The sequence below is a fragment of the Homo sapiens genome, chromosome 3 (genome assembly GCF_000001405.40).
Source record: "Homo sapiens chromosome 3, GRCh38.p14 Primary Assembly".
Classification (NCBI taxonomy): Eukaryota; Metazoa; Chordata; class Mammalia; order Primates; family Hominidae; genus Homo; species Homo sapiens.
This window is the reverse complement of record NC_000003.12, coordinates 114,801,976-114,814,611: the sequence shown is the minus strand read 5'-3', so window position 1 is coordinate 114,814,611 and position 12,636 is coordinate 114,801,976. Positions and strand designations below refer to the sequence as shown.

The following is a 12,636-nucleotide window of genomic DNA, read 5'->3' as shown; positions in this document are numbered from 1 at the left end:
GAGCTCTGATGATACAAATATGTTACTTTGTCTCAGACAAGTTTAAGGCAGATTTGAGGCTATTCTGATTTGAATAGCTTCGAAGGTAGAAGAAAACTAAAGTCACCACAAAAACATAGATGAGTTTATAGAGGATCTAAGGTTGCTATTTTCAGATTGCATCTGAAATGTTGGGGTATCATATAGTAAATTTAGATGAATTGTTACATGGAAGGGTAGATAGACAAATATACAGTAGAGACAGATAGATATCTCTTTGTTACAAAAAGAAATTGAGATAGCTTAAATGATACATACATGTACAATATAAATATATTTATGTATAAATATATTTATATAAATATAAATGACAGTAAGTGAAATATATAATATAAATTAAGTAAATAAAAAATAAAATGGGTAAACAGTGGAAAAACATGAGAAGGAGGCAAGAATTTGACCTACATTTAAAAAGCATCCTATAAAGGATCTTACCTACATTTACAGATTGGGCTCTGATTATATATTTTAAAGAAATACAATGCTTATACTAAGAAAAATCAATTTTCTAGGATGCTCTTCAGTATGTATAGGGATCACTGTATTATAATGTAAATATCAAGATAAATATTAACTTTCATTAGCAACAAAGGATATTTTATAGAAATGCTTCTTTGTAGTCCTCAATGTAGACTGACAACATCTTATTACTGTGAACTTTAGTATTCCCATTTTTAAAAGATTTGGACCAAATAGAGAACACTTCACACAGATATAATTCATTGAATGACAGTGAATTCTAGATTATCTAGATTATATTATATTAGATTATCTAGATTATATTACTTGAAATACAACTATTTTTTGTTATTGTTATTATTTGAGATGGGGTTTCACTCTGTCACCCAGGCTGGAGTGCAGTGGTGCCATCTTGACTCACTGCAACCTCCGCCTCCCAGGCTCAAGCTATCCTCCTGCCTCAGCCTCCCAAGTAGCTGGGACTACAGGTATGCGCCACCATGCGCAGCTAATTTTTGCATTTTCTGTACAGACAGGATTTTTCTGTGTTGCCCAGGCTGGTCTCAAACTCCTGGACTCAAGTGATCTACCCATCTCAGCCTTGCAAAATGCTAGGATTACAGATGTGAGCCACCATGCCTAGCCTATTTTTTTTATTGTTAATTAATAGCAGAAATAGTAATGAAGTTGGGACAGGGTTGATATCCTTTTATAGAAATTGCAAAGCCTAATAAAAACAATCGCTGGAGAGGTTTGCTGGAAAAATACCATTCCACAGGAACAGAAATCTGTTTAAATATTTATTTTGAATCCACTCTAATGTATACACAATAGGTGTTCGAGACTTCAAGTTTCTTTTTCATTGTAGCCTGGATATTGCCCTATTGATAACCTTATAAGAGGTGACAGCGTGCTGGCAGTCCTCACAGTCCTGGCTGCTCTGGGCGCCTCCTCTGCCTGGGCTCCCACTTTGGCGGCACTTTAGGAGCCCTTCGGCCCGCCGCTGCACTGTGAGAGCCCCTTTCTGGGCTGGCCAAGGCCGGAGCCGGCTCCCTCAGCTTGCGAGGAGGTGTGGAGGGAGAGGTGCGGGCGGGAACCGGGGCTGCGCGCGGTGCTTGCGGGCAAGCGCGAGTCCCGGGTGGGCGTGGGCTAGACGGACCCCGCACTCGGAGCGGCCGGCCTGCCCCACCGGCCCCGGGCAGTGAGGGGCTTAGCACCTGGGCCAGCAGCTGCTGTGCTCAATTTCTCGCCGGGCCTTAGCTGCCTTCCCGCGGGGCAGGGCTCGGGACCTGCAGCCCGCCATGCCTGAGCCTCCCCCGACCTACGTGGGCTCCTGTGCGGCCCGAGCCTCCCCTAGGAGCACCGCCCTCTGCTCCACGGCGCCCAGTCCCATCGACCACCCAAGGGCTGAGGAGTGCGGGCCCACGGCGACGGACTGGCAGGCAGCTCCACCTGCAGCCCGGGTGCGGGATCCACTGGGTGAAGCCAGCTGGGCTCCTAAGTCTGGTGGGGACGTGGAGAGCCTTTATGTCTAGCTAAGGGATTGTAAGTACACCAATCGACACTCTATATCTGGCTACTCTGGTGGGGACTTGGAGAAACTATGTCTAGCTCAGGGATTGTAAATACACCAATCGGCACTCTGTATCTAGCTCAAGGTTTGTAAACACACCAATCAGCACCCTGTGTCTAGCTCAGGGTTTGTGAATGCACCAGTCGACACTCTGTATCTAGCTACTCTGGTGGGGACTTGGAGAACCTTTGTGTGGACACTCTGTATCCAGCTAATCTGGTGGGGATGTGGAGAACCTTTGTGTCTAGCTCAGGGATTGTAAACGCACCAATCAGCACCCTGTCAAAACAGACCACTCAGCTCTACCAATCAGCAGGATGTGGGTGGCGCCAGATAAGAGAATGAAAGCAGGCTGCCGGAGCCAGCAGTGGCAACCGGCTGGGGTCCACTTCCACACTGTGGAAGCTTTGTTCTTTCACTCTTTGCAATAAATCTTGCTACTGCTCACTCTTTGGGTCCACACTGCCTTTATGAGCTGTAACACTCACCGCAAAGGTCTGCAGCTTCACTCCTGAGCCAGCGAGACCACAAACCCACCAGAAGGCAGAAACTCCGAACACATCCGAACATCAGAAGGAACAAACTGCGGAGACGCCGCCTTTAAGAACTGTAACACTCACCGGGAGGGTCCGCGGCTTCATTCTTGAAGTCAGTGAGACCAAGAACCCACCAATTCCGGACACACTTATACAACAAGGTGACGGAGTTCCATCACATTCTCCATCCTCAGACTTACATCTTTAAGCAATGTATGTGATGTTTCAGGATTTTGTTTCATGGATTAGATTTCTTGTTTTCCAGACAGAAACAGTAATCTTTACTATTACGGGTTCCTAGATTAAAGGTTATGACACTTTAATGAGATGAAGTTTGGTGAATACTTTGATTTCCTCAACATGTTGTAAAAGTGAAGTATTATGTTGATCCAAAGATATCAGTAAGATATTCACAATTAATGCTTTATACATTCTGAATTTTTCCTAAACAAAGTTTGCTGATTTTTTTCATCTATTTAAGTCTCTGAAGGAAAATGAGTTTAGATAATTCCTAGAAGCAGATACTATATGTTTATCTCTTTTCATGTGATAGGAGTTATTTTGTAAATCCGTTCATAATTTAAATGCTCTAGGGAAGTGTATTCTCAAGGGAACTTTATTGTGGATCATCATGTAAAGGAAAAATTATTATATAGTAAATATTATTCTCTATATCCATATGGGAACTTTCTGATTTACAAGTTATTTGAGTTCCAAAAGGAGCTTATTCCCTTTGTGTGTTCCCAAGGAAGTATAACCTGAGTGAGCCCAGGAATCTGTGAGAAAATAAGCTGGCAAATACTAACCTGATCCAAGTAAGTATTTGGACCTGCTTAGATCTCTGAGCTATTATTGTTTTGTATAAGATTAAGTCTAAATGACATATTCTTTACAATTGCTTAGAATAGGTTAGTCCAGCTCCAAAGTTCATAGCAACTCATTATTAACCAAAGTAATTCTAGTCCTTCTCGCTGAGTGGTTTCTCCAAACTCTATAGAGTGAGGCAAAACTATTTATCTCCCATGGGAGAATTTTGGTAACCTTATCCCTATATCCCATACACTTCCCTAGAAATTCTTAATCCCCCCCAAACCTTTAAACTTTCTAGAGATGTAGTAGGAGGGGCAGTTGAAGATTTTCTATACACATGTAACCATTATGAAAACGTTCATTCAATGGCAGTTAGACTTCCCCCCCGCCACCCCACATGCATGGATACCTGCAGCTAGGCCCCTGATTCCTGCATTACTAAGAAAAGAATTAGGCAGTGGTCATTCGCTGAAGAAATGGCATATGGCATAAGTCGTTTATGCCCACTATAGATTAAAAGGTCATAAATCATATCACAGAAGCTGGATACTTTTGGGAGTGAAAGTGGCCAAATTAAAAGTTATGTTGGGACAACTAGCACAGTTAGGAGCCCACAGTGTTTTAGCCGGGAGTGCTTCCTCCTATTATCCGTCCCCACAGTTCCATTGTATCAGTAGTTCTGCCAGGGCAGGACAAGTCATGAAAACCCACAACTTCACTGCTGAAAGGGGGTGATTCGATAATTTGATGGAGCAGAACATAGAAAAACCCCATGCCCTTAGGTGTGGTCAAAACAGTGACAATCTCAGGGGCAAACAAGCAGGGAGAATAAACATCATATGTAGCCTGAAGTTACAATTCAGAGTAGAAAAGAACTGGCAGATTGGCCAGAAATTTAGCAGGGAGAATTGGAAAAGGATACTATCATAGTGAACTTTGGTAAGCTACCACATATTCCTAGAGGTCTGAAAGGCTGCACACATACTCTGGGGAAGACCTAAGGCTTTGGACACACAGAGAGAAGATAAGAGAGAACAAATGGAAAGTAAAAATCAAAAAAACACTTGTAAACTGCCTGAACTTTGAGTGCATTCTACAACCCACACACACGTATATATCAATTAGAGGCGTTAGCATAGTGGCCCTAGGTGTTTAAGTACAACCTGTGACTGATCGTTGGCTGACCACTAAACTGTGTTAACACAGGGGAAAGTCCCAGCTCAAAAACGAAAATGGAAATTACACAAACTGAGCAGAAACATCAGCAGCGGCACAGCATGGGGAAGAGAGGCTGCACAGAGTTATGTTAGGCAAGTCCTAAATAAACAAACACAGCAATAACAGCAACAACCCTCAACAGGGAAAAGTCAGAAGCCAGAGTTGCTGTAATATGCTATATAAAATGTCAATTTTCAAGAAAAAAATGAGACATGTAATAAACAGGAGTGTGACTCATACCCAATTTAAGAAGTGGTTAAAAGAAAGTGTCTGAAGAAAAAAAAAGAAATTATATTTGGGTTGAAGTGGAGATAGCAGATGTTAAACTTAGCAAACAAAGAGTTGAAAGCACTATTATAAATATGTTCAAAATAATAGGAAATCATGTTAAATAATTAAAGTATTACTATAATTACCCTTTAAATAGAGAGTATCAATATAAACATAAGTGTTATTTTAAAAGGAACAAAAATTCTGGAGTTAAAAAATATTATAATGGAAATTAAAAAATTGCAAGAGAATCTCAACAGAATATTTAAGATGGCAGAATAAAGACACAATGAGATTGAAGATCAATTAATAGAAATGGTCTAATTTGAAGAGAAAAGAACAATGAAAAAATGAGCAGAGCTTCGGAGACCTGTGAGAGACCATCAAGCATACTAACATATGTGTAATGGTAGAGAAGAGGAGGAAAGAAAGAAAGGGCTCAAAAATATTTGAAGAAATAATAGCCAAAAACTTCCCAAATGTGATGAATAACATTAATCTACACATTTGAGAAGCACAAAAACTCCATGTTGGATAAACACAAAAAAAATCTGTACATAGACACATTATAGTCAAACTTTTGAATGAAAAAGAGAAAATTTTGACAGTAACAAGAAAAAAAAGACTGTTACATACAGGAAAACAACACTACGATTAACAGCTTACTTCTCATTAGAAACAAAGCCAGGAGGTAGAGGGATGACGTATTCAGTGTGCTGAAGGAAAAAAAGGGAAAATGTCATTTAGGAATTTTATATTTAGCAAAATTGTTCTTCAAAAATAAATATAAAATAAAGATATCCCAAATAAACAAAGACTGAGACAATTTGTTGCTAGTAGACCTGCCTTACCAGAAATACTGAAGGAAATCCTTTAAGTGGAAATGAAATGATAAAAATGTATCTAAAATTCACCTAAACAAAAGGACCTCATCACGTCATTATTTAGGTAAGTATAGACATGATATAAACATAAAACTAAATTCTGTTTGAACAGAAGGAAGGATATAACAAAGATAAGAACAGAAATCAATGAAATAGATAATGAAAATAATAGAGAAAATTAATGAAACCAAAACTTAGTTTTTTGAAAAGATCAACCAAAACTTAGTTTTTCTTTTGCTAGACTGATCAAGGAAAAAGGAGAGAAGATGACAGATTACCAAAATGAGGAATCAGAGAGAAGGTATCACCACCAACCCCACAGAAATGAAAAGGATTATGAGGTATAGTTATAGTTAATACTATATTATAAACAAATAGTATAACCTCATAATCATTCTCATTTCTATGGGGTTGGTGGTGATACCTTCTCTCTCATTCCTGATCTCATACTATACTATGAACAAATATTATAACCTCATAATCCTTTTCATTGCTTGATAGTTAGAAATACAACCTGTGACTGATCATTGGTTGACCTCAATTGTCATTGCTTAACAATTAGACAATTGTTAGCAACTGGACAATTGTTAGCAATTAGCTGGATAAAATGGACTATCTTAGAAATGCGCAAATTACCAAAACTGACTCAAGAGGAAATAGAAAATATGAACAGACTCGTAATAAAAAGACATACAATTTATACAATTTATAGTTAGGAGAAAATCCTAGATGTAGATGACTCCACTGGTGAATTCTATCCAATACCAGTATTTCACAAACTTTTCTAGAAATAGAGCAAGAAAGGTCATCTTTCAATTATTTGTACAATATTACACTGAGAGCAAAGCCAGACAAAGACATCACAATGAAAGAAAACTGCAGACCAGATTCCCTCATGAATATAGACACCAAAACTCAACAAAATATTCACAAACCAAATGTGGCAAAGTAGAAAAGCATTATACAGTGCTGACCACAGAGGATTTATCCCAGGAATGTGAGTTTCACTTAACATCCAATAATTAATTAATGCAATATAGCATATTAATAGAATAAAAGAGAAAACACATGACCATTTCAATAGATGTACAGAAACATTTGAGAAAATCCAGTATCCATTTGTGATATAATCTTTCAACAAAAGGAATAGAAGAGAACTTCTGTAACCTGACAAAGGGCATCTATGAAGAACTTATAATGTATGTAATGATGAAAACCTGACCGATACACTCCTAGGATCGGAAAAGAGGCAAGGTTGTCAGTTCTTATGTCTTCTGTTCAACATTGTACAGGAGATTCAATCCAGTGCAGAATGATAAATACATGTAAGAAAGAGAGAGAGAAGCAAATTAGAGGAAAAAAAAAAGAAGCAGCAGCAGCTGCAGGGGAGGGGGAGGGGAAGGGAAAGAGAAGGGTTAGACAGACCAGCAGAAAGAAACAATCAGTGGCATACAGATTGGAAATTAAAAAGTAAAACTATTTATTTGCCGGCAATATAATCTTGTACATAGAAAATTCTAAGCAATGTACATACACCTCCCCCACCACACACACGAACTAATAAAGGAATTCAACAAGTTAACTGAATATAAGAAGAGATATTGTACAGAAATCAATTATATTTCTGTATACTAGCAACAAACAATGAAATTAAGAAAACAGTTCAATTCACAATCCTGTCAAAAAGAATAAAGGCGTTTTTACAGAAATTGACAAGCTAATCCTAAAATTTACACGAATATGCAAAAGATCCAAAATAGTGAAAATACTTTTGAAAAAGGAAAACAAAATTAGATAACGTACAATTTCTGGTTTTAAAACTTACTTTATAGAGTATGATATTGGCATACAGATCAATGGAATGGAATTGAAAGTTCAGAAAATTCATCATATTTTTGATCAATTAAATTTGACAAAGGTGCCAAGGCAATTTGTCATGGGAAGGGATAGTCTTTTCAATAAGCAGTGCTCTGTAATTGATGCTAGGATTATATGCGATATAAATGAATATTCACGAACCTAGGACTGTAAAAAACATATTTTAGTTCTTATTTCATATCCTGCACAAAAATTTAATCATGGGCCTAAATGTGAGAGCTAAAATTATAAAATTTCTAGAAGAAAACAGGAGAAAATCTTCATGACTTTGGGTTAGAAAAAGTTCTTAGCTATCACACCAAAAGCTTGATTCAATAAAATCCTTGGTAATTAGGATGTCAACAAAATTTAAAACTTTTGCACTTCAAAAGACCCATTAAAGAAATGAAATGACAAACCAAAGACAGGCGAAAATATTTGCAAGATTGCGATTTGCAAATCATAATCTGATAAGAATTTTTACGCATAATATATAAAGAATTCTTCAATAATAAAAAGACAAGCAACCCAGCTAAAAACTGGGCAAAATATTTGACAATTCACCGAAGTTATTCACCAAAGAAGATGAAGTCATGCCTAATAAGCACTTGAAAACATGGTCAACATTATTATTTCCAGGGAAAAGTAAATTAAAACCGTAAAAGACTACTTCACACCCGCTAGAATGGCTGTAATAAAGACAGATAGTAACAAGTGTTGGAAGATAAAGACAAATTAGAAGCCTCCTATATTACCAGGGGAGATGTAAGAGTATAGTCACTTTGGAAAGTGGTTTGGAAGTTTCTTAAAAGTTAAAATAAACTTACCCTTATGATCCAGCAATACCACTTTGAGGTATCTAAGAGGAAAAAAAATATGTCCACACAGAGACGTATTTTATGTGAATGTTCATGGCAGCATTATTCGTAACAGTAAAAAACTGGAAACAATTCAGATGTCCATTGGCTGATGCATGGATAAATAAAATGTGGTGTTATATCCATGCAGTGGAATAGTATTCATCAGTAAAAGGGAATAGACTACTGCTACATGCCACAACATAAAAGAATCTTAAAAATGAATTATGATAAGTGAAAAAGCTACATGAAAGAGATCACATATTATTTGATTGCATTAATAAAAATATCCAAAAAGGGCAAATTTATAGAGAGAGAAAATATTTGTTGTCTGGGTCTAGGGATTGACTCCCTAAGGGTATGAAGGATCTTTGTAGGGTGACAAAAATATTCTAAAAATGAATTGAGGTGATGGTTATACAACTCTAAATTTACTTAATGTCATTGAGTTATACACATAACAAGAGTGGATTGTATGTTATATAAGTTATATCTCAATAAACTGTTATGTTTATTAAAACTAAGTATAGAGAAACCTGGCAGACATTCTCCTAAGCAAGCGACCAAGGTTAACATACCCCGAGATATCATATACCTTTGATGTTATAAGAAGGGCACATCACCTCTTTTGTATTCTTCTCTAAAACCTATAATCCGAATCTAGTTACGGGATTGGACAAATCAAAGTTGTAAAAGGTTTCACAAAATATCTGACCACTAGTCTTCACAATTATCAGTCATGAAAAACATGGAATGACCAAGAAGTTATCACAGATCAGAAGAGACTGAGGAGACATGGCAATTAAAATGCAGTATGGTATCCTGGATTGGATTTTTGGAACAGAAAAAACATATTAATGGAAAAATTGGTGACATCTGAATAAAGTCTGTAGTTTAGTTAATAGTATTGTGTCAATATTAATTTCTTAATTTTGTCAAATTTACCATGGTTATGTAAGATAGTAACATTAGGAAAAACTAGTGAAGGAAATATGGGTACTCTCTGTACTATCATTGCAACTTTTCCATAATTCTAAAATTGTTCCAAAATACAAAGTTAAAATTTTAAAAAGCAAATGGAGAATTTATAGATTAAAGGATAATTATCGTTTGAATATAATGTGTACATCTTATTTAGATCCTGATTCAAACTAACCAGTTATAAAAAGAAAAGACCATTTAAAAGTCAATCATTTAACATGGACAGGATATTTAATGACATTAAAGAATTACTATTATTTTTGATGTGGAATGATATTAGTTATGATTGTCATCTTTCAGTAACACATAGTAAAGTATTCATGCATAAAATAATAAGCTATCTGGGATTGTCTTTCAGATGCTCTGGTGGAAGAAAAAGTAGGTGAAAGTATAATTGGAAAAACAATTGACTATGGGTGATGGGTACTGGAGAGTTCATTTTTCTGTATTCTGCCCTCTCTCATATATTTGAAATATTTTATAATAAAAAGTTTTTAAATAGTGGAAAGAAAAAAATACTAAAATAAATAATTAAAGTATTATAATTAGCCTTCTATGCTGACCACAAACAGGGCTGTCTCTTAAAAATCAAATCTGCACAATGTCTGAATAAATAAATTATAGAGAGATGAGTGAACTCTCAAAAGCAATCTGAGCAAGATACAGTCAGTACTGAATAGTTGGAAGAGCAATAAGAGAAGTGCCTGAATTAACATAGACCTCCTAAGCTGGAATGCTTTGTTGTTCTTTCCTTGAAGTTCTGTGACCTGGTGATATCTAAAACTCCTTCTGTGTGAGGATTTTAGAAAGTAGAATGTGGTCAGAAGCAGCCCTTTGTTCGTAGTCAATGGTAAGATCTGTAGTTCTCACCCCCCTTCAGGTTTTGTTTTGTTTTGTTTTTTTATTGACTAGAGGCTTTGTTTGTGGCCTTGTGACTTACAAGATAGGTTACTGCAATATAATGCATTTGCTACTTCTCTGGAAAGCCATTCAGAATCTTTAAGGAGTGCAGAATGTACAACTCTTTTGCTAAAGGGTCTCTGCCAGAGAAGCATTCTTCCGGATTTTGTATATTGCATTGATTACGGAGCTGTTGCTCAGTGCATCATTGGATGTTGACTGTAATCTATAAAGCCTTACATAGTTTTCTTCCAATTAAAGAAGTCTGACACTGGTGGTCAATTTTAATAATGACTGAGATTGATCTATGTGACTTAAAATTTTAACAGATTTTGGAACCTGAAATGTGAGAAACAAGTTTTCTTATTGATGACACATACTCTGAAATCTATTTTAAAGGTGGGTTCAGTGTACAGTAGTGAATTTGAATTAAAAAAAAAAAAAAAAACAGAAAGTTGAAAATAGACAAAAGTGCCAAAAATAAGGTATTTGTCCTGACTTTCTGTTCCTTCATCTCACCTGACATTCCCTCAGAATATTTTACATCCTTGATGACCAGTCTTTTAAGCAATTCTACCTGATAACCCCACTATATAGTGACAGAGTTACTGATTTGTTCCATGAGGAGATAAGAAGAGGAGCACTATTCATATCAAAGACAACTGGTCCTACTTCCAGGTCCATCTTTGGGCCAAGATATGTAGTCGCCAACAGTGAGTTGGCGACTATATTTTTTGAGTCCTGGCGCAAAGTAAGATCCATCTGTTTTGCCCAGCCGTTTGCCTGAGTGCCACAAAATGGTCCTGTTATTAGTCTTATTTGTGGTCCTATTTGAGGTTAGGTATAATGTAAATAAATTTCAGTTCTCCTCGTGATGAGTAGTACAGCATGGGAATTAAGAGGGCTGGTGTTGGTAGTTGTAAGTGATGTTGAGTCTCTATTTTTTCAATTGCTCTGTTTTCTTTGGATTGGGAAACAGACATTTAAGAATGAGTTTGTCATCTGGAAGGATAGTTGTGACCAAGTTTCCCTCAACAGGATACAAGATGTTATTTTTGAGCCTCATTACCCTCACCAAGAGAAAAAAAAAAAAGAAGGAAAAAGGAATAAGAAAGAAAGTGAAAGTGGAGAAGAAACAAGCAGAAATAGAAGAAAAAGATCAAAGAGGAGAAGGAGAAATGGCATGGGGGGGGAATGAAAATTGGTACACTGACCATCTATTCATATAATTGATTTAATTATTTTGAGCTGATAGTTCAATTCATTCAACATCTGGCAAATTGAGGAGAAGGAAACCTGACTGAATGAATTGAATTACTAGTTGTTAGTTATATGTTTATATGTAAATATTCAGCCTAGTTTCTATCACCTTTTCACGTCTAAACTAGAGAATGAATTTGTTTCGCTAACCATATTTTGTTGGTGAGTAGAACAATGCCAGTTGGTGAATTAGATTTATCCAGAGGTGGGCAGTTTTAAATTTCTGAATCATTTTTCAGAGATTATTGTTATTCAATATATTTATATTATATCTCATAATTTCTGAGCACAAGTTATTTTTGTCAGTTTCTTTTATGAATATTTTGCTGCCTTATAAGGAAATAATGTGCACTCCCCTCCTCTCATTCAGTTGTCCCTGGTGACGCCTCCATAATTTCTGCCTTTACGCTGGTTCATTTTTAGCCTAATTCAGGCATGTGAGAGGAGGGGGAAAAGTTTAGTTAGTCAATGTCAGTGATTTTTTTTAAATCTAATCTCATTCATGAGTGAATTTACTGTGAACCTGAGCATGTTTACGCTTAAAATCTATGTACATCAAATAGACCAATTACCCAAAATATTCCTCTATACATTTCAAGAGAAAAAGAAAACAGGAATCCCAAGTAAGAACTACATATGCTTTCTAATAATAGTACAATTTAAGGGGTGATTTGTGATTATGCTCTCATATGGGGAAATATTAAAATATTACCTTGCACTAATGTGAAATTGGATGTAAACATATGACATTTAGTGTTATAAATATATAGAAAGTATTCTGCCACGCTGTAAAGTGAATGAAAGCGAATTATATTACCTCATTTTATATTTTAAAAACTAAATTTTTCTAAATCCCATTGTATCAGTTTTTCAAAGCTAAAAGTAAGGATGATTTAATTCTAGTGTGTGATGTGATTTTTTTAATTTAAAAAATACTATTATTTATAGATGGTGTTGTTTGAAGAAAGAAATGATTCAAAAAATAGTATAAT

The 12,636-nt window shown here is 36.2% G+C and overlaps 1 protein-coding gene across 9 annotated transcripts in view, besides 1 other annotated feature; it reads left to right on the top strand.

Annotated features, from left to right (window-relative positions):
• ZBTB20 (zinc finger and BTB domain containing 20) overlaps nt 1–12,636 on the top strand; it is an 832,789-nt gene that overhangs the window by 332,677 nt on the left and 487,476 nt on the right. The window lies entirely within an intron of this gene.
• Nucleotides 4,542–4,721: an enhancer, noted in NCBI's record as "active region_20278". NCBI's record gives its function as "activates an Ori minimal core promoter by ATAC-STARR-seq in GM12878 lymphoblastoid cells {active_cell/tissue: GM12878}" and the evidence as "EXISTENCE:reporter gene assay evidence [ECO:0000049][PMID:35858748]".